Below are 26,584 nucleotides of genomic sequence, written 5' to 3'. Positions count from 1 at the left end.
ACTTCTTTTTTTTTCTTTTTTTTCTTTTTTTCTTTTTCTTTTCTTTCTTTCTTTTTTTTTTTTTGTGACGGAGTCTCCTTCTTGTCGCCCAGGCTGGAATGCACTGGCGTGATCTAGGCTCACTACAACCTCCGCCTCCCGGGTTCAAGCGATTCTCCTGCTTCAGCCCCCTGAGTAGCTGGGATTACAGGCGCCTGCCACCATGCCCAGCTAATTTTTGTACTTTTAGTAAAGATGGGGTTTCGCCATGTTGGCCAGGCTGGTCTCAAACTCCTGACCTCAGGTGATCAGCCCGCCTCGGCCTCCCAAAGTGCTGGGATCACAGGTGTGAGCCACCTTGCCCACCCTCCCCACTGTCTTTTTAGGGTTTCTCCTAAGTAAGGCTAGAGTAGAATGGCTGTTCATATCTGGCATGTGCCAGCATATTATGCAGATGTCAACACTAGGCCCATTTTTTCCATCCTGCACTAACTTGACATAGAGAAATCCTATGAGTCTATAGGTGTAGACTGAGGCGGGGGTAGGAATTTAAATGACCCTCTTGTACAACCTGCTTGCACAGTCCTATGTACACTTTTTATTTCACAACAGAATGTTGCTTTGTAAATTCACTTTTTTTTTTTTTTTCTTTGAGACAGAATCTCACTCTGTCACCAAGGCTGGAATGCAGTGGCCTGATCTTGGCTCACTGGAACTTCCACCTCCCAGGTTCAAGCAACTCTCCTGCCTCAGCTTCCTGAGTAGCTAGATTACAGGAGCATGCCACCACACCCAGATAATTTTTGTATTTTTAATAGAGACGGGGTTTTGCCATGTTGCCTAGGCTGGTCTCGAACTCCTGGCCTCAAGTGATCTGCCCGCCTCAGCCTCCCAAAGTGCTGGGATTACAAAGGTGAGCCACCGTGCCTGGCCAGTAAATTCAGTTTTAACGATCAGATGAAACTAAATTCACCAAGGGCAGTTCAGATGAATCTCTCAGTGCCACCTGGCAGGAGCGGTGGCCCTCAAGTGAGGATGCAGCCAGCCTACAATGAGGAGCTACGGGAATAAGGACCCCAACCTCACATCCCACCTCTGTTCTTCCACAAGTGTTCCCCATTGGCTGCAGCTGACCAGGAGTCAGAGAACGAGGGAGCCCATTGATGTGGTTCACATGAGTCAGCCTCTGGGGCGGAGCAGGATGAAGTGGAGAAATTCATCTGGACAGGCTATGGTGGGCAGCCTCTAAGATGGTACCCAGTGAGCAACACCTCCTGGCATTCACCTCCAGGGCTGGTCTGTGTGACCAGTAGAATATGGCAGAGACAATGACATTTCACCTAACAAGTCAGGTTAGAAAAGGCACTGCAGCCTCAGTTTTGGTCACTGCAGTGGGGAGCTTTCTAAGATGGCCCATGATTCCCAGCTGCTGGCATCCATGCCAGTGTGTAATACCCTTCCTTTGAGTGTATGCTGGACCAAGTGACTTGATCCTAATTAATCGAATATGGCAAAAGTATTGGGATATATCCCTTGTGAGATTAGGCAACTAAAGGTTCTAACTTCCATCTTGGTTGCTGGCTTTAGCCAAGCAAGAGGCCCGTGTGGAAAGAATTGAGGGAGACCTCTGGCCAACACCCACCTGAGTGTGTGTGGAAGGGGATCCACTCCAGGTGAGACTTAAGAATCTCAACTTAAGCTGACTGCAGCCTCTGGAAGGACTCAGCTCTGAGTCCTCAGCTAAACCGTGCCCAGATACCTATTCCACAGAAATGTGAGATAACAAATGCCATTTGATGTTTTGGGGTAATTTATTATAAAATAAAAGGTAACTAATATTCTCTCTCTCTGATCACTTGCTTTAGGTGAAGTCAGCGGCTGTCATTAGCAGCTCTATCGGGAGCCCACCTGGCAAGGAAAGGTTTTCTGACCACAGCTTGTGAGTGAGCCTGGAGGCAGATCCCCACCCACCCAAGCCTTCGGATGACTACAGACCCTGCCCTCAGCATGATTCATGAGAGACCTGAGCCAGAACCTCCAGCTAACCCACTACCTTATTCCTGACCATCAGAAACTGTGCAAGGTAGGGCCTGGCATGGTGGCTCAGGCCTGTAATCCCAGCATTTTGGGAGGCCGAGGCAAGCAGATCACTTGAGGTCAGGAGTTCAAGACCAGCCTGGACAACATGGTGAAACCTCATGTCTACTCAAAATACAAAAATTAGCTGGGCGTAGTGGCACACGTCTGTAATCCCAGCTCCTCGGGAGGCTGAGGCAGGAGAATCTCTTGAATCTGGTAGGCGGAGGTTGCAGTGAGCTGAGATCGCGCCACTGCACTCCAGCCTGGGCGACAGAACTGAGACTGTCTCAAAAGAAACTGCTAAGGTAATAAATGTTCGGGGTTTTAAGCTGCTAAGGTTTGGGAAAATTTGCTTTGTAGCAATTGATACTAATCCATGAGCCAACAGAAAACATTCAGCCAAGAGGAAAAGGGAAAGTTCATAAAATTGGGTGAAATATTCCTTAGGAATAGTATTTGGTACTTTTTTTTTTTTTTTTTTTTGAGATGGAGTCTCACTCTGTTACCCAGACTGGAGTGCAGTGGCACGATCTCAGCTCACTGCAACCTCCGCCTCCTGGGTTCAAGTGATTTTCTTGCCTCAGCCTCCTGAGTAACCGGGATTACTGGCGCGTGCCACCACGCCCGGCTAATTTTTGTATTTTGAGTAGACACGGGGTTTCACCATGTTGGCCAGACTGGTCTCCAACTCCTGACCTCAAGTGATCCACCCGCCTCAACCTCCCAAGGTGCTGGGATTGATAACAATCATGAGCCACTGTGCCCGGACTTGGTTCATATTCTTGATGGGCCCTGAACCTATATATAGAGTTATTTTTTTGAGGACCTCTCATAAAAAAAAGGTTTTCTTTTGCTTCAGGGACAAACTCTGGTATTCCACTAAATTGAGAATGGGCTGGGCGTGGTAGCTCACGCCTGTAAGACCAGCACTTTGGGAGGCTGAGGCAGGAGGATCACTTGATCCCAGAAGTTGGAGACCAGCCTGGGCGACACAGGGAGACCCCTCCCCCATCTCCACAAAAATAAAAATAAAATAAGCCAGGCGTGGTGGCGTGCACCTATAGTCCCAGCTACTTGGGAGGCTTAAGTGGGAGGCTCACTTGAGCCCAGGAGTTCGAGGCTGCCGTGAGCTATGATAGCACCACTGCACTCCAGCCTGAGCAACAGAGAAGACCCAGTCTCCAAAAAAAAAAAAAGCCCACCAAAAAAGTAAAAAAAAGTTGAAAATGATGACAGACCCTTTATTAGCACCTCTTACATGCCCGGGCAGTGAATTTATATCATCTTTCACAAATAGAAAAACTGAAGCTCATTCAGATTAGGTAATTTATCTGAAGACACAGATAAACCCCTCTCAGCGCCTGACTCTCGGCGCAATCGGGATGTTTCGCAGCGGGGCAGGGGCAGGGGCCGGAGCCACCGCCATCGCAGCCCGGGGAACAACGGACTCGGGGAAGCCCGGCCTGGCCCTTCAAGTCCCGGGCCCAGCAAGGGCCAGGACCCTCCCTCCCTCCCTGCAATCGGTCCCAACTCGCTGAATGAAGCTCATTCAGTTTAGGTAATTTATCTGAAGACACACGGTTAGTAAAAGGCAGAACCCAGGTTTGTATTCCGAAGCCCTCGTTCTTTCCACCACATTATTATGGCCTTCCTAACGGTAATCCTTACAATTTTAAATGAACATATACCATAGCTCCTCTCCTGAACACCGAGGGACGCTGGCTCACGGAGTTTAGAAAGTTAACGCATCTGGCCGGGCGCGATGGCTCACGCCTGTAATCCCAGCACTTTGGGAGGCCGAGGTGGGCGGATCACAAGGTCAGGAGTTCGAGACCAGCTTGACTAAGATGGTGAAACCCCGTCTTTACTAAAAATACAAAAATTAGCTGGGCATGGTGGCACAGGCCTGTAATCCCAGCTACTCGGGAGGCTGAGGCAGAAGAATCGCTTGAACCCGGGAGGTGGAGGGTGCGGTGAGCCGAGATCGCGCCACTGCACTCCAGCCTGGGTGACAGAGCGAGACTCCGTCTCAAAAAAAAAAAAAAAAAAAAGGAAGTTTACGCAACCCGCTGCGTCCCCTCCACCGCCGCGCACCCCGTCTCGCAGCTGGCGCGGTGTTTGCTGGTGACATGAACTCAACCAGCCTCCACCATCTGGGGATCGGGGCGACATCCTTGGTCTGGTTTGCAAGAGGACCCGCACGCCTCCAGCTGGGGCGGAATTGGAAGATTCAGAAAGGAAAGTTGGGGAGGCGGGGAAGGAAGGGTGCAAAAGTGACACTGTGCCAGGGTCTCCAGGGCCGCGGAGCTCCGGGACAGGCAGCGCCTTCCGAGCTGCACAAACGCGTGGGGCGGGGCGTCTCTGGATCCGGAAGTTGCCTCTGCCCTCACCAAAGATGGCGGCCCCGGCGCCGCTCGCCCACCTCTCGTAACCAATGGAACCGCGGCGCTCGGCCGATTCTCGCAGGCGCCCTCAGATCTACGCTCTCTGATGCAACGCCGGAATCGCGGAAACCGCCGGTGCACGTTGGAGTCATAAGACGGCGTCGGTGTTGCAGTCTGTGTCCTTGGAGGTGACCAGGGCCACTGCAGGCATGGTGCTAGGTGGGTGAGACTCAGTGTATGGCGCGGTGTTCCCTGCCTGGGGCAGGAACTCTGCTCCAGTCGGGTTTCGGCGCTTTCCTTAGTGCCTACCAGAGTGGGCGCCCCGCGAATGTTTGGGGACCGATTGCAGGGAGGGAGGGAGGGAGGGTGCTGGCCTTTGCTGGGCCCGGGACTTGAAGGGCCAGGCCGGGCTTCCCCGAGTCCGTCGTTCCCCCGGGCTGCGATGGCGGTGGCTCCGGGCCCTTCCCCTGCCCCGCTGCGAAACCTCCCGATTGCGCTGAGACTCAGGCGCTGGGACGGGTTCAGACACAGGGTAGCCCCTACTCCTGCAGTTCTTCAAAGTGATCGTCAGGAAGGGGCTTTAGGATTCTAGTTGTTTTTCTCCCACCCTCATTTTTTTATTGAGGTTTCCGGGGAGACCATACTGTGCAGTAGGAAAAAAAAAAAAAAAAAGAGAGAGACCTGGATGGATGTTAACTGTTCAGACCTACTAGTTGTGAGGCCTTCTGAAATTTTCTAACCTCAGAGCTTCTGTTTCCTTTAAAGTCCAGAGGGAGCTGGTGTTTATTTGCCATCTCTACAAAAACTGGCACTGGGATATCTGATTTGTATGTGTTATTTTATTTCATCCTCAGCACAGCCTTTCAAGATGGGGATTGTTTTTCCTATTTTATAGGTAAAGAAATAAGCTCAGAAAGGTTAAGTAAATTCTCCAGAGTCACCCTGCCTTTTAAGGTACAAAATCCAACATTCCAGCGTATGTCTGATCAACTTCAAAGCCCATATTTTATTTTTGGGTGCCCAATTAGATAGAATAAATATCACAAATTAAAATGATCAGAGTTCATTTTGAAAACCTGGATTATTAACTAATGTTTTTATGAGATGGATGTTATTGAAATGGAGTGGGGAAATAACTAGGATATTAATTACTTATGGACCTCAATTTTTATTAATCGATGCTTGTTCTGTTTACAAAGATAAGGAATGAATAAAGTAGTAAGGTGACTAATAGTTAATGGCCAGACCATAACTTACCCTCATTTTGTCAAACAGCAGAGCTGTACGTCTCTGACCGAGAGGGAAGCGATGCCACGGGAGATGGAACCAAGGAGAAACCATTTAAAACAGGTCTAAAGGTAGAGTCTCTTCTCATTAGGAAAATGAGACTGCATTTATTAATGAGTTATGTCAATTTTCTTGTGACTTGCCAAGAACTTAATTTCAAACACTAGGTTCCAAAGAGAATTTTCAGAAAAGGGAAAGTAAGGAATGCATACAGATATGTGACTTTAAGATTGTTAGATGATCAAAGTCTAAACTTACTTTTTAACATTTTGAAAAAAGGTCTCTTCTTTCTTACCACATGGCATTGCTTCTTGGAATTTTTCTCTCCATTGAGTCAGATTGCTGGGTTTTCAATTCTTGTAAAGATAAAAGTTACCTTTCCTCAGTTACAGTGAGCTCATGACCAGGGGGCTCCTGAGAGGGCTTTTGGTGAATTTACCACAATCCAGAGTGTGATCCTGAGATTTGACTCCAAGACCACCAAGAATGGATTCATTTGTCAGAGCTGACTCATGAGTCTGGAGCTTCAAGCTAGAATGCCAATTTATTAACATTCTGTTAATGAATTAACAGTGCTGTTATTTCTCAGGATCTAGAATCCTTGAATGAGTTTAGCTCATTCTCAAAGGGGTTTGTCAAGAGCTTGGACTCAGGCCTGGTGTGGTGGCTCACGCCTATAATCTCAACACTTTGGGAGGCCGGGGCAGGTGGATTGCTTCAGCGCAGGAGTTTGAGACCAGCTTGGGCAACTTGGTGAAATCCTGGCTCTACAAAAAACATAAAAATTAGCCCAGCATGGTGGTGCGTGCCTGTGGTCCCAGCTACTCCGGAGACTGAGGTGAGGATTTCTTTAGCCTGGAAGGTGGAGGTTGCAGTGAGCCACCATTGCGCCACTGCACTCTAGCCTGAGACCCTGTCTCAGAAGAAAAAACAAAAAAAGGGCTTGGACTCACAACATGGGTGTTAGGTAGTTGATTATATCAGAGTAAAGTGTGGCCTAAGACAACCTTCTTAAAATAGACCATGGACTTAGCTGTTGAACTCATATGCTAGAATCCATTGGCTATAACTGCCACATAAGGAAGATGGTTAAAAGTTCCTTCCTTGGGTCTGGGCTTTGGTGCCTCACGTTTGTAATCCCAGCACTTTGGGAGGCTGAGGCTGGAGGACTGCTTGAGCCCAGGAGTTTGAGAACAGCCTGGGCAACATGATAAGACCCTCATCTCTACAAAAAATTTAACTTCTTAAAAATTTTTTAATAAATTTAATTTAAAAAATAAATAGAGACAGGATATTAACCCTCCCAAAGTGCTGGGTTTATAGGAGTGAGCCATCACACTCAGCCAACTACCAAAAAAAAAAAAAAAAAAAAATTAGCCAGGCATGGTGGTATGGTATGCACCTGTGGCCCCAGCTACTCGGGAGACTGAGATAGGGGGATTACTTGAGCCCAGGAGGTTGAGGCTGCAGTGAGCCGTGATTGCATCACTGCTCTGCAGCCTGGACGACAACAACAAAAAAGTTCCTTCTTTGAACTGTATTAGGAAAAGCAGTGCCTTGACACTCCTTTTTCTGTGCATCCCCTTTTTTTGTTAACTGTGTTACAACATTTATAGTTACTATCAAGTCCTAATCTGGGAGCATTCTCCTCTCTTTTAGGTCATACCATATGGTTATAAACTTTGGTGTGTCATACATGGGTACTTGTTTTTAATTTAACTTATTTATTTATTTTTCTGAGACAGGATCTTAATTTGTTGCCCAGGCTGGAGTGCAGTAGCGCATTCATGGCTCACTGCAGCTTCAACCTCCTGGGCTTAAGGGATCCTCCCACCTCAGCCTTCCAAGTAGCTCGGACCACAGGGGCATGTCACCACACGCGGTTAATTTGTTTCTTATTTGTAGATACGAGATCTCATTATGTTTCCCAGGCTGGTCTTAAACTCCTGGGCTTAAGCAATCCTGCTGCCTTGGCCTCCCAAAGTGCTGGGGCTACAGGTGTGAGCCGCCACTCCTGGCTGGGTTTTACTTTTTAACCACTCTTAAGGGGAAATCTTTCATTTCTGGATTATCGGGTGCCTCGTTTTGCAGCTCCTGAAAACTGACAACACCGTTTAGATGAACGTTTGCAGAATGTCACTGTTAACAACAGAATGTCACTGTTAACAAAAGTGTAGCATTCTGATTTGGGAACTGATAGTTTGGCTCTTTCAATTTCAATGATACAAAAGGAGGGATCAGTACAGATTGTCGGGTAATAAGTGAATTCCGAACGACCTACATGTATTCATGGGACCTTCTCTCTTGGTTTTGCATTTTCATCAATGGCTATCTTTTTTTTTTTTTTTTTGAGACAGAGTTTTGTTCTTGTTGCCCAGGCTGGAGTGCAGTGGCATGATCTCGGCTCACTGCAACCTCTGCCTTCTGGGTTCAAGCAATTCTCCCTGCCTCAGCGTCCTGAGTAGCTGGGATTATAGGCACTCGCCACCATGCCTGGCTAATTTCTTTTTTTTTTTTTTATTTCTAGTAGAGATGGTGTTTCACCGTGTTGGCCAGGCTGGTCTCGAACTCTTGAGCTCAGGTGATCCACTCACCTCGGCCTCCTAAAGTGCTGGGATTACAGGCGTGTGCCACTGCGCCTGGCCCCTACATGTATTCTTACAATGTCTAGTTGTTAAAAGGATGAACTATTGAATGTTTTCTTTTTTTTCTTTTTTTTTTTTTTGAAAAGGAGTCTCACACTGTCACCCAGGCTGGAGTGCAGTGGTGCAATCTCAGCTCACTGCAACCTCTGCCTCCCGGATTCAAGAGATTCTTCTGCCTCAGCCTCCCGAGTAGCTGGGACCACAGGCGTGTGCCACCACACCTGGCCAATTTTTGTATTTTTAGTAGAGACAGGGTTTCATCATATTGGCCAGGCTGGTCTCGAACTCCTGACCTCATGATCCGCCCACCTCGGCCTCCCAAAGTGCTAGGATTATAGGCGTGAGCCACCACGCCCAGCCCTTGAATGTTTTCAAAAGATCCAGATTCCTTCCTTCTCTATTTTTTTTTTTTTTTTTTTTTTGAGACGGAGTCTTGCTCTTGTCACCCAGGCTGGAGTGCAGTGGTGCGATCTCGGCTCACTGCAAGCTCCGCCTCCCAGGTTCACGCCATTCTCCTGCCTCAGCCTCCTGAGTAGCTGGGACTACAGGTGCCCGCCACCACACCCGGCTAATTTTTTGTATTTTTAGCGGAGACGGGGTTTCACCATGTTAGCCAGGATGGTCTCGATCTCCTGACCTCGTGATCCGCCCACCTCGGCCTCACAAAGTGCTGGGATTACAGGTGTGAGCCACCATGCCCGGCCTCAGATTCCCTCCTTCTCTGCAGCAGTCGTAGAACTGAGAAAAAGTCCGTTTTTGCAGGCTGCAGATCTTGCAACAGAGAATAATTCACTGCATTTCTTGTTTGATTCAATAACTTGGAAGAGATTTTGAAAGATTATTTGAGGCTTTAAAATATTCATCTTTTATGTACTTTGAACTATTTTTTAAAAACTACAAACAATACATTTTATCAAATGATATATAACACAGCAATGCTTGATATGTCCCATTGGGGAAAAGAGGTATTCTACATGGGGGAGTTTTTCAGATTAAATGAGTTTAGCTTTTTGTGCTCTTTTTTTTTTTTTTTTTTTTTTTTTTTTGAGACAGAGTCTCTCTCTGTCGCCCAGGCTGGAGTGCAGTGGTGCCATCTCAGCTCACTGCAAGCTCTACAGGCGCCCGCCACCACACCCGGCTAATTTTTTGTATTTTTAGTAGAGACAGGGTTTCACTGTGTTAGCCAGGATGGTCTCGATCTCCTGACCTGGTGATCCTCCCTCCTCGGCCCCCCAGAATGCTGGGATTACAGGCCTGAGCCACTGCACCCGGCCGCTTTTTGTGTTCTTAACCATTGTTTTGTTGAAAGTTTCAAAAATGTCTGACACTTCTCTGATTTCTCACAGAGAACTAACCTTTTAGATGTCACTTGCAGTTGAGTTTTGCTGTCAGGTGTCTCTTCTGTTGTCCTTGTACCTGTGCTGGTTGCTACAGCCACTTAAGATCTGTTGCTTATAGTCTGCTTTTCCTGGGGAACTGTATCGTGTATACCCGAACTTGCTGTAATTGTTTGTGAGAGGACCTCAGAGCTTCAGCTTTAACCAGTGTGCTTCTTTTTTTTTTTTTTTTTCTCTTGAGACAGAGTCTCGCTCTGTTGCCCAGGCTGGAGTGCAGTGGCACGATCTTGGCTCACTGCAAGCTCCGCCTCCCAGGTTCACGCCATTCTCCTGCCTCAGCCTCCCGAGTAGCTGGGACTACAGGTGCCTGCCACCACACCTGGCTAATTTTTTTGTATTTTTAGTAGAGACGGGGTTTCACCATGTTAGCCAGGATGGTCTCGATCTCCTGACCTCACCCACCTCGGCCTTCCAAAGTGCTGGGATTACAGGCGTGAGCCACCGCGCCCAGCCAACCAGTGTGCTTCTTAAATGTTCAACCAGTCACTGTGCCAATATCAGCTTTTGGCTGTTGGGGTCTTTATGCTTAGATTGTTCCAGTTGCCTTATACTTGAGATGTTATTTTGATTTTAAGTATTGTACAATGTTCAAGAACTGTCTTTTCTCTCCTCCCTACCCAAGGCTTTGATGACAGTAGGGAAAGAACCATTTCCTACCATTTACGTAGATTCACAAAAAGAAAATGAGAGGTGGAATGTTATTTCTAAATCACAGTTGAAGAACATTAAAAAGATGTGGCATAGGGAACAAATGAAGAGTGAATCCCGGGAAAAGAAAGAGGTGAGTCCTGACCTTGCCATCGTGAACGTTGTTAAAGTTAGAACTCTGGCAACCATGTTAACAAACTGCTTCATCATTAAAATTAGGCAGAAGATAGTTTACGAAGAGAAAAGAACCTGGAAGAAGCAAAGAAGATTACCATTAAAAATGATCCAAGTCTCCCAGAGCCAAAATGTGTAAGTTTGTTTATCTTTTCAAATACCGTGGACTTGGCTACATCAGATCATTATTTCTGTGTATGAGGGGCATGTCACATGGTTTGTTCCTTTACATTTTGTTTTTACTTTCCATTTATTTATTTATTTATTTATTTTTGAGACGGAGTCTTGCTCTGTCGCCCAGGCTGGAGTGCAGTGGTTCAATCTCAGCTCACTGCAAGCTCCGCCTCCCGGGTTCACGCCATTCTCCTGCCTCAGCCTCCCGAGTAGCTGGGACTACAGGCGCCCGCCACCACGCCCGGCTAATGTTTTGTATTTTTGGTAGAGACGGGGTTTCACCGTGTTAGCCAGGATGGTCTTGATCTCCCGATCTCGTGATCTGCCCACCTCGACCTCCCAAAGTGCTGGGATTACAGGCGTGAGCCACTGCGCCCGGCCTACTTTCCTTTTATTTTTTATTTCTTAATTTTAAATTTTAATTTATTTATTTTGAGACAGGGTCTTGCTCTGTTGCTCAGGCTGGAGTGCAGTGGTGCAGTTTCTGCTCACTGCAACCTCTGCCTCCTGGGCTCTAACGATCCTCCCAAGTAGGGGGGACCACAGGCATGCACCACCACACCTGGCTAACTTTTATTTATTTTTAATTTTTGTAGAAACAGTCTCCCATATTGCCCGGGCTGGTTTCAAACTCCTGGGCTCAAGGGATCCTCCCACCTCAGCCTCCCAAAGTGCTGGGAATACAGGCGTGAGCCACCATGCCTGGCCTACTTTCCTTTCAGAAGGGACATAGAGAAATAATGTTTTAGAGTTATGAGGCTAGTTCTTTAGGGGTTCATTTTATTACACAGTTAAGTAAATGCATGTTGAATGAATTCTGTCCCAACTGAATGCCAGCAGATGGGGGACCCAGGCCTGGCTACGCTTCATGATGTTGGTCAAGTGATTTAACCCTCTCTAGTGTCAGTTTGCTTATAAAATGAAGAGGTTGAAATCTATGATTTTCATGTTTTATTTAAATAGAGTAAAAGTTTGTGAATTGTGAAATTAGATTCACTCTTCTTCTGTTCTTTCTGGAACCCAAATAGATTGCTGGACTATGAATGAAAATGGTTTGATTTCCAGTAGTTCTTATTTTATTTTATTATTTATTTATTTATGAGACAGAGTTTCACTCTTGTCACCCAGGCTGGAGTGCAGTGGGGAGATCTCAGCTCATTGCAACCTCCGCCTCCCGGGTTCAAGTGATCCTCCTGCCTCAGACTCCCAAGTAGCTGGGATTACAGGTGCCTGCCACCACGCCTGGCTAATTTTTGTATTTTTAGTAGAGATGGGGTTTCACCGTGTTGGCCAGACTAGTCTCAAACTCCTGACCTCAGGTGATCTGCCCTCCTTAGCCTCCCAAAGTGCTGGGATTACAGGCTTGAGCCACCACGCCCAGCCAGATTTCCAGTAGTTCTTATTGCTGATGAATTTTTGTATTATTTCCTTAGTGATGGAGCTGGGGTTTTTTGGCCACATGCAACAGCCCCTTCCTCTACTCATCTCCTCTCTCCTTCATCCCCCAAACAAAAGCTAGCCTTTTAAGTACCATGTTCTGGAAGGTATTGAAGAACTGTGGGGTCATGGAAAAGGCTTCATGTGGACTGGGATTGTTGCTGTTGTGGGAAGCAAGTGCTCCACTTATGACAAAGGAATTCATTTATTAATTAATTTTATCTAGCAATATCTGAAATTCTTCTGGGTGTTTCTCATTATCAGTTTTACATTAAGAAAGAAGACTTGGATTTTTTTTTGTTTTGTTTTAAACCATGCCAATACAGTGAAATGCGTTTGGTTCTGAGCTGCAGTAGAGGGGCTGTCTCCAGTTTTGCACCATTTGTGATTTTTAACACTTACTACCGTCTGCCTAATATTAGTGAAAAAGTTGGTGTGTATAAATGACATTATTGAACAAATGTTGTTTATTTCAATTTGACAGGTGAAGATTGGTGCGTTAGAAGGATATAGAGGCCAAAGAGTAAAGGTGTTTGGCTGGGTCCACAGGCTGCGCAGGCAAGGTAAATGGCAAAGCTTTTCCTTCTTTTTAATGTTTAAATATCCCTGCTCTTAGATGAAGAAAAACATACAAAGATTTGCAGGGGTTTTTTTCTCTCCCCCTTTTTTTCTTAGACACAGTCTCACTTTGTTGCCCAGGCTGGAGTGCAGTGGTGCTATCTCGGCTCACTGCAACCTCCGCCTCTCAGGTTCAAGCAATTCTCCTGCCTCAGCCTCCTGAGTAGCTGTTATCACAGGTACCTGCCACCACACCTGGCTGATTTTTGTAATTTTAGTAGAGACGGTGTTTCACCATGTTGGCCCGTCTGCTCTGGAACTCCTGGCCTCAGGTGATCCACTGTCTTGGCCTCCCAAAGTGCTGGGATTACAGGTATGAGCCGCTGCGCCCGGCCCTCTTTTTTTTTTTGGTATGCTGGCTAGACTTGAACTCCCCCCAGCCATCCTCCTGCCTCAGCCTCCTGAGCAGCTGGGATTACAGGCACATAGCACCTCACCTGGCTTTAAAGGATAGAGTGATTTATATCTTAAATTTGTTCTTGTTTAAAATGACTATTGAAAGTATAAAAATTTTTAAATGCTCTTTTAATGGTTAGCAATTATAGTGATGAAGATGCGTCCAGTAAATATTTGTCAAGTTGAGTTTTAATTATTTAGTGAAAATCAAGGGATGTTACTATAGGAGGTTGACATCTGAGTCTGAAACTTGGCCATAGTTTTGACTCTTATAAACAGTATATTTGCATTCTCCCTTGGTTCTGACATTTTGTTTCCTCTTTCCCCTTTTATTATATATTTTATAATATATAAACATGTCACTTTTACTATTTATTGTAAGGGATTAGCAAATCTTTCATTGAAAAGTGGGACAGGCCAGGTGCGGTGGCTCACGCCTATAATCCCAGTACTTCGGGAGGCCAAGGCGGGTGGATCGCCTGAGGTCAGGAGTTCAAGACCAGCCTGGCCAACATGGTGAAACCTCTTCTCTAATAAAAATACAAAAATTAGCTGGGTGTGGTTGTGAGCACCTGTAATCCCAGCTACTCTAGAGGCTGAGGCAGGAGAAGCACTTGAACCTGGGAGGCAGAGGTTGCAGTGAGCCGAGATCATGCCATTGCACTCTAGCCTGGGCGACAAAAGTGAAACTCCATCTGAAAAAAAAGCGACGGTGGAGGGGACAAAAATACAAATGAAATGTTTTAAGCGGATTTCAGTAATTGGACCTTTAGGACATAAATAAGAAAAAGTGATTTTGTTCAAGAACATTTATGTATCACCGAGTGCACAGTACTACCCCAGGCATTGCAGGGGACTCAAGGGTAGATAAGGCATAATCCCTTAACTCATGTTGCCTTCTGTCCTGCTTTCCCCTGGTTGTGTGGATCTTGGGGATCATGTAGGATTTGAAAGTCCAATACATTGAAAATAAAATATTTTACAAATACTGAGTAGTGGTATTACCAGTGGGTACTTCAGGGGCAGGGAGCCATGTGGGAGGTCTGAACTTGAATGTTTAACCTTGGAGTTTCCTTTAGATAAGATTAAGTCATGGCTGGGTGCAGTGGCTCACACCTGTAATATCAGCGCTTTGGGAGGCTGAGGTAGGAGGATTGCTTGAGCCCAGGAGCTTGAGACCAGTCTGGGCAACTCAGTGAGACCCTTGTCACTACAAAATAATTAGCCAGGTGTGGTGGCATGTGCCTGTAGTCCCAGCTATCTGGGAGGGTAAGGTGAGAGGTTTGCTTGAGCCCAGGAGGTAGAGGCTGCAGCGAGCTGTGATTGTGCCACTGCACTCTAGCCTGGGTGACGAAGTGAGACCCTATCTTTAAAATTATATATATATATAAAATTTAATGCCTTGAGAACAGTCTGCCTAAATTATTATTTCTCATTTTTTAGGAAAGAATTTAATGTTTCTGGTGTTGCGAGATGGTACAGGTTATCTTCAGTGTGTCTTGGCGGATGAGTTGGTAAATATTTTCTCTTATTTATGCCTGAAAATTAGATGTTTTCAGTAGATTCCTTTATTGTTTTGTATACATTTATTTAAAACATTTATTATGTCGACAGTGAATGTCAATGAATCAAAACATCACATTGTATACCATAAACATGCAATTTTTATTTGTTTATTATACCTTAATAAGGCTAGAGGGAGAAAACTTTTGTGGAAAATTTCCAGCACATTACAAAATAGAACCATATAAAAAATCATCAAATGCCCATCACCCAGCTTCTGTAACCACCTATATATGGCTAATCCTGGTATGATACTGCCCCTCAGACATCATATCATTTTATTTAATTACACATGCTTATGCATCTCTAAGAAAAATAATGTGGCTGGGCATGGTGGCTCATGCCTGTAATCTCGGCACTTTGGGAGGCTGAAGTGGGCAGACTGCTTGAGCCCAGGAGTTTGAGACCAGCCTGGCAACATGGTGAAATCCTATCTCTACAAAAAATACAAAAACTAGCCAGGTGTGGTGGTGCATATCTGTAGTCTCAGCTACTCAGGAGGCTGAGGTGGGAGGATCTCTTGAGCCAGGGAGGCAGAGGTTGCAGTGAGCCAAGATGATGCCACCACCTTCCAGCCTGGGCAACAGAGTGAAACCTTGTCTCAAAAAAAAAAAAAAAAAAAGATAATAGTCACCTACTATTATCACACCCTCCACCAAATTAATACAACTACTAAATATCATCTAATATCCAGATTCTTGTTATCAGTTCGTACTGCCTTTTTATAGTTGATTGATTTGAACGAGGATTCTGACAAGACTAACATGCTGCGTTTAGTGATATGACTTTGAAATTTTCTTTATAACTCTGCTGCTCTCTTTGCATTCTCTCTTCTTTTGCAACCCGCCCCCTCTCCCCACCCATTACTATGTATTTCTTGGGAAAACCCTGGTGGATTGTCCTGTGGAACTTCTCACATTATGGATTTGGTTGTTTGCATCCTTGTGGTGTCCTTTAGCATGTTCTTCTAGTGTCTGCATTTTTTATAAATTGGAGGTTAGGTCTGATTAGGTTCAGTTTTTTGGCACAACTACTTCATGGGCAAAGCTGTGTTCTTTTAGTTGCATCACGTCAAGAGGCATGTAAGGTGTGGTTGTCTTTTTCTTTTTTTTATTTGAGACAGAGTCTCGCTCTGTCACCCATGCTGGAGTGCAGTGGCGTGATCTCAGCTTAGTGCAACCTCTGCCTCCCAGATTCAAGTGATTCTCTTGCTTCAGCCTCCCGAGTAGCTGGGACTACAGGTGCATGCCACCATACCCAGCTAACTTTTGTATTTTTAGTAGAGACAGGTTTTTGCCATGTTGGCCAGGCTGGTCTTGAACTCCTGACCTCAGGTGATCCACCCGCCTCGGCCTCCGAAAGTGCTGGGATTACAGGTGTGAGCCGCCGTGCCCGGCCAGTTGTCTTTTTTATGACTAGTGGGTTCAGGTGTTGGCAGCCTGACTTCTTCCTTTTAAAGTTCCCCATCAGTTTTTTCCTAATGACTTTAGTAAGAAGTGATTATAGTGTAGATGGGCTCTGTATGGTTTTGTTTGTTTGTTTGTTGTTTTGAGACACAGGGTTTCTCAGAAAGAGTACAGTGGCATCATCATAGCTCATTGCAGCCTCGACTTCCCAGGCCCAAGCAATTCTCCCACCTCAGCCTCCCGAGTAGTTAGGACTATAGGCAAGAACCACCACACCCAGCCAATTTTTATTTTATTTATCTCTCCCTTTGTTGTCCAGGCTGGTCTTGAACTCCTGGGCTCCAGTGAGCCTCTCAACTTAGCCTCCTTCATGGGATTACAGGCATGAACCACTGTGCCTAACCTGTATGTTACTTTAATAGTCTAGATTTTTAAAAATAAATAAATAAACTGTCCAGATATTTTTAAGTGATGTGGGTCAGTGTCATTTATCCATGTATGTAAAATGTGTATTTACATGTATATGTATATATTTACATGTATATGTCTATATATAGATAAACCTCTGTCTTCCACAAAAATATCTATTTTAATATTAAGAATCAGTGGCCATCTCACTCTTTATTTTACTAGTATTTGATCAGATAACTTGTTTGTAAACAATCCCTTTAACTTTCTATATGGTAGAATTTTTAAATCAATGTGAATAACTAAATTTGAGCTTTGACCTTTTTATAGTGTCAGTGCTACAATGGAGTTCTCTTGTCCACGGAGAGCAGTGTTGCAGTGTATGGAATGCTAAATCTTACCCCAAAGGGCAAGCAGGTGAGTGGATTGAGTTTCGCACTGGGTGAATGAATAGTTTATTTATTGGTTTGTTTTCCAGTGTCTTTGTTTGTACATTTGGCATATGTATTAGGGTTCTTCAGAGGGACAGAACTAGTAGGATAGATGTATATGTGAAAGGGAGTTTTTAAGGAGAATTGGCTCACAAGATCACAAGATGAAGTCCCACGATAGGCCATCTGCAAGCTGTGGAGCAAGGAAGCCAGTAGTGGCTGAGTCCAAGTTCAAAAGCCTCAAAAGTAGGGAAGCCGACAGGGCAGCCTTCAGTCTGTGGCCAAAGGCCCAGGAGCCCCTGTCAAAGAACTGGTGTAAGTCCAAGAGTCCAAAAGCTGAGGAACTTGGAGTCTGATGTTCAATGACAGGAAGCATCCAGCACCGGAGGAAGATGAAGGCTGGAAGACCTAGCAAGTCTGCTCTTCCACCTTCTTCCTCTTGCTTTTTCTAGCCAGGCTGGTAGCTGATTGGGTGGTGCCCACCCACATTGAGGGTGGGTCTGCCTCTCCCAGACCACTGACTTAAATGTTAATCTTCTCTGGCAACACCCAGATACACCCAGAAAATACTTTGTATCCTTCATTCCAATCAGGTTGACTCTTAATATTAACCATCACAGCATATAAATACAATAAATGTGAAGTACATGTCAAATTCACTATGCCTTTTCCAGTGAAATATGTACATTGTACAACTCAGGTGATAAAAAGAATACAATGATTTCCAGCCTTACGGAATTCCTGAATCATCCTCATGGGCTATAATATAGCCACTGTGCTGTAGATATATGAATTACTTTTCAGCCAGATGGAAATAAAAACTTAACAACCCACCTAAATATGTTCAGAGAATTTCTTATTAGAATTTGAGCCTGTTTTTATTGTTTTTTTTTTTTTTTTTTTTTGAGACGGAGTTTCGCTCTTGTTGCGCAGGCTGGAATGCAGTGGTGCGATCTCCACTCACCACAACCTCTGCCTCCCAGGTTCAAGCGATTCTCCTGAGTAGCTGGGACTATAGGCGTGCGCCACCATGCCTGGCTAATATTTTGTATTTTTAGTAGAGATGGGGTTTCACCTTGTTGGCCAGGATGGTCTTGATTTCCTGACCTCGTTATCCACCCGCCTCAGTGAGCCACCGTGCCCAGACACAAATATCTTTTAAAAATGGAAACGCACAGGCTGCGCATGGTGGCTCATGCCTGTAATCCCAGCACTTTGGGAGGCCGAGGCGGGCGGATCACGAGGTCAGGAGATCGAGACCAGTTTTGCCAACATGGTGAAACCCCGTCTCTACTAAATATACAAAAATTAGCCAGACGTGGTGGTGGGCGCCTGTAATCCCAGCTGCTCGGGAGGCTGAGGTAGGAGAATCGCTTGAACCCAGGAGGCGGAGGTTGCTGTGAGCCAAGATTGCGTCACTGCACTCCAGCCTGGGCGACAGAGTGAGACTCCGTCTCAAAAAAAAAAAAAAAAGATATTTGTGTGTATGTGAGTGTGTATTTATCCAGAAAGAACATTGGTAAAAATATCAATATAAAACTAAACTAAAGCTGAGAATTAGGAGGTTCTTAAAAATCTCAGCTTACCAAAACTTTGACATAAATTAAAATCCTCAATACTGTTAATTTTTTATTTCCTTTTCCCTCTTTCTCTGGACCCCACTTTTAAAAAATGCAGGCTCCAGGTGGCCATGAGCTGAGTTGTGACTTCTGGGAACTAATTGGGTTGGCCCCTGCTGGAGGAGCTGACAACCTGATCAATGAGGAGTCTGACGTTGATGTCCAGCTCAACAACAGACACATGATGATCCGAGGAGAAAACATGTCCAAAATCCTAAAAGCACGATCCATGGTCACCAGGTGCTTTAGAGATCACTTCTTTGATAGGGGGTACTATGAAGTAAGTATGCATTCGTCAGCTTTTGCAAAGAATATGTTTTTTGCCGTTTTGAAACTTGAATAGTGGTGCTCACGATAGCATTGATTTATTCCTTCTTTGCATTTGAACAGGTTACTCCTCCAACATTAGTGCAAACACAAGTAGAAGGTGGTGCCACACTCTTCAAGCTTGACTATTTTGGGGAAGAGGCATTTTTGACTCAATCCTCTCAGTTGTACTTGGAGACCTGCCTCCCAGCCCTGGGAGATGTTTTTTGTATTGCTCAGTCATACCGGGCAGAGCAGTCCAGAACACGAAGGCACCTGGCTGAGTATGAAGTTGTCTTTTTGTTTTATTTCTTTCTAGGTAATATCTTTAGAGAAGAAATCTTAGTGTAGGTAAATTATGTTTATGTTTTAAAAAAAACCAACTGATATATTAAGTGGTTAATGGAAGAACATATAACAAAGTTTTGCCACCTTAGATCGTAGCTAAGTTCTCTTTTTTCACTTTGACTTGATCTTTTATATATAAAGGAGCAAACAAGAAATTGCTACTCAGTGGAGAAGAGGGGAGTCCACAGCTAATTTGCAAAGTTGGGAATTGGTAGCATTGTTGGCATTTTATGGACAGCTTCCCAATGTTAAAAGCCTTGCTGGATAAAAAACCAGTGCAGGAGAAAAGCAGTGCTGAGCTATTGTCTCGTTCTTCAGGTACACTCACGTGGAAGCTGAGTGTCCTTTCCTGACTTTTGACGACCTCCTGAACCGGTTGGAGGACTTGGTTTGTGATGTGGTAGATCGAATATTGAAGTCACCTGCAGGGAGCATAGTGCATGAGCTCAACCCGGTAGGTGCAGTGTTTATGGAAAGAAAAAGTCACAGTCCTTTTTTGGAAGACAATGAAGTCTTCACCCTCAGTTTTTGTAGATTTGATGGCTTGGTGAGCTGAAATAAGTGACTAATTATTTTGAAGACTAGAATTTGATGTTAGTCACTGTCAATAATTTTATAATGTTTTCAGTTATATAACAGGCTCATGTTTTCCATTTTAGGAATGTCTACATAGTTTTCTAGTCTGAAGTTATATATATATATATATATATATATATTTTTTTTTTGAGACAGAGTCTCACTCTGTCGCCAGGCTGAAGTACAGTGGCGCGATCTCTGCTCACTGCAACCTCTGCCTCCCAGCTTCAAGCGATTCTGCCTCAGCCTCCTGAGTAGCTGGGACTACAGGAGCCCACCACCACCCCCAGCTAATTGTTGTATTTTTAGTAGAGATGGGGTTTTACCGTGTTGGCCAGGCTGGTCCCAAACTCCTGACCTCAAGTGATCTGCCCACCTCAGCCTCCCAAAATGCTGGGATTACAGGCATGAGCCACCACACCTCACTGAAGTAATACTTTATAATAGTTTTTTAATGGAAATTTTAGTGTTAATGTTTATATTTATGTATATATACACATTATATTTTTCCTTTCTTCTGTAGAACTTTCAGCCCCCCAAACGGCCTTTCAAACGGATGAACTATTCAGATGCTATCGTTTGGCTAAAAGAACATGATGTAAAGAAAGAAGATGGAACTTTCTATGAATTTGGAGAAGTATGTATCCCTTTCTCTCATTGTTTCCAAGGTGGGATTGGGCTCCAATTCTCTTCTTCTGGTTAATGAACTAGTAACATGGGTGGCATCTGCCTGTCCTCAAATAAATGGTAACAGCAGGACCTGCTTCTTGGGTTGCCTGCAGATTCGCTGAGTTAACAGAGTCAGCCTTAGGACAGTGCCTGTTCTGTACCACCCAGTAAGCGTAAGTGAGTTTCTTTTTTTTTCTTTTTTTTTTTTTTTTTTGAGACGGAGTCTCGCTCTGTCGCCTACGGAGTGCAGTGGCATGATCTCAGATCTCGGCTCACTGCAACCTCCGCCTCCTGGATTCAAGCGATTCTCCTGCCTCAGCCTCCCGAGTAGCTGGGACTACAGGCGCACACCACCATGCCCAGCTAATTTTTTTATTTTTAGTAGAGACAGGGTTTCACCATGTTGGCCAGGATGGTCTCGATCTCTTGACCTCGTGATCTGCCCACCTCAGCCTCCCAAAGTGCTGGGATTATAGGCGTGAGCCACCGCTTCTGGCCAAGTGTGAGTTTCTAAGCTGCCTTCATGTCTCATGCTTTGCCTCTTCCCTCTTCCTTCATTGTTCTTCCTTGGCCACAGCTTATAAGCTCTCTTTATCATTCTCTAGGCTGGTAGGAGTGCTTTAGAAGGTTGTGAAGCCTTTGAAATCACATGCAAAATGTTGGTATATAGATATATATATATATATATATTTTTTTTTTTTTTCTGGAGAATGTATCTTGTGCTTTTAAAAAGAGGTTCATCCCCTCCCCCAAAACAGTGATTTAAAACTTCTTAATGTGGAAGGCGAGAAAGAAGATAGCCATTGGTTAAAAATGCAAAACCAAGAGAGAAGGTCTTGGAGAAGGTAGCCTAGTGCCCCAGGTAAACTTAGCATTTCGGTTTTGCCTGAGAACCACTCTCCCAGCATGCACTTGGGTTGCAAATTTTCTTTATTTGGGACAGCATCTCCATCTGTCGTCCAGGCTGGAATGCATTGGTGCGATCATAGCTGGCTACAACCTTGAACTCCAGAGTTCAAGTGTTCCTCCTACATCAGCCTCCAAAAGTGCTGGGATTACAGGTGTGAGCCACCATGCCCAGCTAATTTTTTATTATTTGTAGAGATGGCGTCTCCCTATGTTGCCCGGGCTGGTCTCAAACTCCTTGGCTCAAGCAGTCCTCCCACCCCAGCTTTCCAAAGTATTGGGATTACAGGCGTGAGCCACTGCATCTGGCTCAAGTTTCCAAGACTATGCTAGGCCCTCTTTCCTGTGCATTTAACCATTACTTACATAATATTTGCACATCTAATTGTTTTACAGTTGAAATGTGTGTAGATGCTGCTAACTAGTTTTGGGTTTTAGAAGGAATTAATAGGTGAAACAATATACTGGGTCTATGTAAAGCACTCTTGTTTCTGTGAATTCAGTTTGGTTTTTTGGTTTTTTTTTTTTAAAGAGATGGAGGTATTGCTGTGTTGACTGGGCTGGTCTCAAACTCCTGGCCTCGAGCAGTCCTCTCACCTCGGCCTCCCGAGTGTTGAGATTATAGGCATGAGCCACACTGTGCCCAGCCTATGAATTCAGTTTATGATGTATAATGACAAAATTTTGTATTGAGAACTTGCATACTTTTAGTGTTCCTAATACTTAGTAAAATAGTGTAGTTGAGTGGAAAGAACACAAGCTGTGGAGTCAGAAGGCCCCCCAGGTGGGCTTAGCTCCCACCTCTTTTCTTTTGTGCTGTGTAACTGAAGACCAGTGACCCCCTCTCAGGTTCCTTATCTCTACCTTGGAAGTAACATCTGTTTTGCAAGATTGTGGGGACTACCGGAGCTAAATGCCTAGGCAGGACAATGGCAGGGGGAGCCTGTCAGCATTTACTATACATTGCTACTGTTCCACACACATGAGGACACTAGAGTGGATACATGACCCTCAGGCTTTGGGGGGTATGAAATAAGACCTGTTTTCCCCTAACTAAATCTTATGCAGAACCCCGCTGTGTAAAGCAGATGCAAGCTGAGAGACTAGAGCTCTCCCACTCATCTCCTGTTACCTCTCGGCGTCTCCGAGGACGCAAGGGCTCCAGAGCCTGGAGCTTGAAAACAGGTGTGCTAGGTGATTGCTACCTCCATTTCACTTCTTCATTAAACAAATCTATGAGTCTTCTCCAGTTCTCTCAATCCATTTTTACTGGGACGAGAGTTGTCAGTTTTAACTTCTGTGTTAACTTTAATTTATGTGTGGTATAGAAGGATGTTTTGAGAGAGAAACTGATGCGCTTAAGTCATCATCTAACATTGTTTGGGTAACTATTCCAGGTGTGCTTACACTTACCAGTTTGACATTGGTTATTTGTCTTATGATTGTGTCTGTCATCGAAGGCATAACTGATTGATTACAACAGGAAAGAAGGGTAGATAACAGGAGAGTTTAAAGATAAGTGTCATTAGTAATATACTCTGTGTGTAGATCAATGATGTTCTGGAGCATTCATGATTACCGTATGCCTTACGGGACTAAGTGGACCTCATTTGCTTCAGAGCTAGACAAAACGGGCCACTGAGAAAAATACTGAGCTGTGTCTAGTCACAGCTTGGGGCTGGCTTTTGTTTTTGTTTTTTTTTTTATTTTCCTTCATCAAACAGCATGGTGCTTGAGATATGCTGTAAAGGGAGACAGATCTTTTATGCTTCATTAAATAACTGAGTTTTAAGAATATGTTTATTTCTTTTTGAAAGAAATTATTCTTTACACAAATGTGTATGGGTTAAGGGTAGGTGTGTATCCTCTACTCTGTTGAATTGATAGGAGGAAGGACTGGTACAGGGTGAAGGAGCTGCTTCTGTCTTGTTGCGATCCAAGTTGTAAATGTTAATGAAGTCTTGTTTGACCTCAGGATATCCCAGAAGCTCCTGAGAGACTGATGACAGACACCATTAATGAACCAATCTTGCTGTGTCGATTTCCTGTGGAGATCAAGTCCTTCTACATGCAGCGATGTCCTGAGGATTCCCGTCTTACTGAATCTGTCAGTTTCTGTTTCAAAGAGTATTAATAATTTTGCTTTTTAAGGGGGTGGGGACTGTCATCTGGAATCAGGTACAGCTCATGCCAAATATTTCATTCTCTATCTAGAATAACAATATTTAAAGACGTTGGGTTTTTTCACCCTCCCCTGATTGAAGTTGACATGCTTTGTTAAATTAGAGAAATGTAAACATTTGAATATTACATGATCATAGTGGCTCCTTTAGCCCTTGGAGCTTAATTGTAATTTTCATTTAAACTCTAGGGCAGTGCTGTGTCTGATCGCTTGATAGTAATTGTGTATCTTCTTTCACTTATATTTAAAGGTCGACGTGTTGATGCCCAATGTTGGTGAGATTGTGGGAGGCTCAATGCGTATCTTTGATAGTGAAGAAATACTGGCAGGTTATAAAAGGGAAGGGATTGACCCCACTCCCTATTACTGGTATACGGATCAGGTAAAACCAATTTTTTAAGTACTCAACATTTTTTTCCACTGTAATCGTTCTGTATATATTGAAATTTTTAAAAGGGGAGAATTCAGGGTAGTACTTTGGTATTTGAATGAGCTATATTCAGTTTGCAGGTTATAATGTGGTGTGTGAATATTGCCAGCTTTGTTTTGGCCAAGTTATATGTTAATTTCATTTGAAAACCTGTTTAACGGCCGGCTTGTTGATTGCAACTGAGTTTTAAAAAATTGATCCTACCAGTATCTAGTACCCTTCTTCATTTTCCTCTTATAAATAGACATTGACTTATTTTAAAAGTTTTTAAAAATCTCTTCTTTCCAGGGTAGTACTTATTCCCTGGTTGATTTTTTCATACCAAATTATTTCTTTATGCATGGTTCATGAAGGCATAGAGATTAAGTGCTGGGATTACAGGCACGAGCCACTGAATCTGGCCATAGTTGAATTCTTAACCACAGTGAGCTAACTCCTTTCATGGTGGAAAATTTTAACTGTCTTAGATGAAAGTTTTAACTTAAGTATTTACTCCTCTTTCTTTCTTTCTTTTTTTAAACAGAGAAAATACGGTACATGTCCCCATGGAGGATATGGCTTGGGCTTGGAACGATTCTTAACGTGGATTCTGAATAGGTATCACATCCGAGACGTGTGCTTATACCCTCGATTTGTCCAGCGTTGCACGCCATAACCATTTTCTCCAGAAGCGTGGAGGAAAGATTATGAAAGGAACAGGCTCTTTAAAAAAGAAAACAAAAAGCCAGAATCTTCCTTTTTTTGTTTCATTGGGGTTTCTCTTTCTGTTTTTCTTTCTACTACCATAAAAACTATCTCAAATCACCTGAACATCAAGTGATATTAAGGTTGTCATCTTAAGAAAAAATATCCATTTTTTTCTTAAGTTCGGGAAACAAAGTTCGGGGAAAATACCTGGCATGAAACTGTAGTTAGGGATACATTTCAGCATTTTACTCACTTTATCCAAGTTATTCATTTTATTCAAGTTATATGTATGTATAATTCAACAATTTTAGATTATGGTGTAAGATACTCCAGTAACTTATCTTTCTGTCCTTTTAAGTGTACCTTGAATTCTTTGATTTATTTTATTGCATCAATGAATTAAAACAAAAATCTTGGGGGAAGAAATTGGCAATATCGTATAAAAATCTGCTCATATTAGAACACAGTATAATTCAGCAGTAAACACTAGAATCAAATGAATAGCCTTTTGTATCAGTTATTAATCTTTTCTAACTCTGCTTAGCTGCTAATAATCCTGAGGCATAGAAATTGAAGAATTTGTAAAAATAGAATTGCCTTAAAGGATTTGAAGTAAGAACATAATTTTGGGGAGAGTTTTTTAGTGATTCACAGTATCCCTCTTAGCATTAATTTAAGGTAAAGAGGCAGATTGATTTTCCCTCTTTCCTGGTAATTCCTAAGTAATTAAGAATAAATAAGTTCCAAAAGAAATTGTAGCTGGAATCTTAATAACAATTGTGAGTGGCTGTTTGAGTTGCCCCCACCATGTCCTTAGATCTAATCTGTGCTACCTTATTAACTCACAGCAGGCTTACTGAATGGCTTCATTTCAGATTTAGTTGATTTCTCCACCAAATGCATGTCATGTATTCTCAATAGGCTGTATTCCCAGCAGTCAATAAATGAACACCCGTAAAAACTCTTTGCTGGCTTAATTTTCTTAAAGCTAAACATCTCTTTGTCACATTCGTTCATGCTTTTGCAATTATTTTATCTTTTTTATGATGTATATATGTGAAATTAAGTACTACTAAATTTAGTAGATATTGCTAACGTTATATGGTAATGAGAACGAATGATTTTTTAACGTTAGATATGTGGGTCATGGTTAAATCTTTTTTGTAATCTTTTTTGTGTTACTGTTGGACACATTAGATTTTATCCTGTTTTGCAATTAAGTGAAATGACAGGTCAAAATGAGGCATTTAGGCTGGGTGCAGTGGCTCACACCTGTAATCCCTCCACTTTGGGAGACCAAGGCGGGCAGATCATCTGAAGTCAGGAGTTCAAGACCAGCCTGAGCAACATGGTAAAACCCCATCTCTACAAAAATAAAAAAGTTAGCCAGGCATGATGGCAGGTGCCTGTAATCCCAGCTACCCAGGAGGCTGAGGCAAGAGAATTGCTTGAACCCCGGAGGCAGAGGTTGCAGTGAGCCAAGATTGCACCATTGCACTCCAGCCTGGGCTATAGAGCGAGACTGTCTCAAAAAAAAAAAAAAAAACAAAGGAAGAAATGATGCATTTATAATCTATTCAGCCTGCATCTTTAAATAAAAAATACTTGGAAGAGTGTGAATGAGCTGTAGATGACTTCAACTAAGCAATTCATTTTATCAGAATTAAAGTGAAGAGGTTAGGCTCAGTTAGCCTTAATTTTAATGGTGTAAACAGGTCAAAGTTTTAAAATATTAAAGGAGAGCCAGGATATGGATAAGGGAGTTAAGGTGGTGACCTCAGGCCGAGAGACTGAGCACGGTGAGCAGCAAACCTCACGCGTGTGGACTTCACTCC

General features: G+C 43.7%; 1 protein-coding gene across 2 annotated transcripts, besides 3 other annotated features; it reads left to right on the top strand.

Moving 5' to 3' along the window:
- Window positions 3,980-4,684: an enhancer, noted in NCBI's record as "H3K27ac hESC enhancer chr18:55288917-55289621 (GRCh37/hg19 assembly coordinates)". NCBI's record gives its function as "activates a minimal SCP1, AML or CMV promoter by ChIP-STARR-seq in naive H9 embryonic stem cells {active_cell/tissue: H9 hESC(naive)}" and the evidence as "EXISTENCE:reporter gene assay evidence [ECO:0000049][PMID:30033119]".
- Window positions 4,260-4,599: an enhancer, noted in NCBI's record as "active region_13374". NCBI's record gives its function as "activates an Ori minimal core promoter by ATAC-STARR-seq in GM12878 lymphoblastoid cells {active_cell/tissue: GM12878}" and the evidence as "EXISTENCE:reporter gene assay evidence [ECO:0000049][PMID:35858748]".
- NARS1 (asparaginyl-tRNA synthetase 1) lies at window positions 4,533-25,713 on the top strand. 2 transcript variants are annotated; one of them, XM_005266700.3, is made up of 14 exons: window positions 4,533-4,661; window positions 5,721-5,800; window positions 10,394-10,552; window positions 10,639-10,728; window positions 12,689-12,767; window positions 14,662-14,732; window positions 16,926-17,012; window positions 18,704-18,925; window positions 19,036-19,235; window positions 19,618-19,753; window positions 20,399-20,512; window positions 23,426-23,557; window positions 23,883-24,014; window positions 24,586-25,713. In XM_005266700.3, the coding sequence occupies exons 1-14, from the start codon at window positions 4,652-4,654 to the stop codon at window positions 24,715-24,717; spliced, it is 1,644 nt and encodes a 547-aa protein (XP_005266757.1). In that variant the 5' UTR covers window positions 4,533-4,651; the 3' UTR covers window positions 24,718-25,713. The 2 variants fall into 2 exon arrangements, with proteins under 2 accessions (XP_005266757.1, NP_004530.1); NM_004539.4 differs by having other exon boundaries at window positions 5,718-5,800.
- Window positions 22,198-22,492: an enhancer, noted in NCBI's record as "tiled region #4588; K562 Activating DNase matched - State 5:Enh". NCBI's record gives its function as "activates a minimal TATA promoter and a strong SV40 promoter by Sharpr-MPRA in K562 cells {active_cell/tissue: K562}" and the evidence as "EXISTENCE:reporter gene assay evidence [ECO:0000049][PMID:27701403]".
- Window positions 25,714-26,584: the final 871 nt, after the last annotated feature.

Source organism: Homo sapiens, chromosome 18 (genome assembly GCF_000001405.40).
Source record: "Homo sapiens chromosome 18, GRCh38.p14 Primary Assembly".
NCBI lineage: Eukaryota > Metazoa > Chordata > Mammalia > Primates > Hominidae > Homo > Homo sapiens.
This window is presented reverse-complemented; position numbering and strand designations above follow the sequence as displayed.

Excerpts from the sequence above, each read along its gene's own strand:
- NARS1 (NM_004539.4), top strand. Across the intron at positions 10,729-12,688 it reads GTCTCCCAGAGCCAAAATGT|GTGAAGATTGGTGCGTTAGA; the intron begins GTAAGTTTGTTT and ends TCAATTTGACAG. Across the intron at positions 19,754-20,398 it reads TAGTGCATGAGCTCAACCCG|AACTTTCAGCCCCCCAAACG; the intron begins GTAGGTGCAGTG and ends TTTCTTCTGTAG.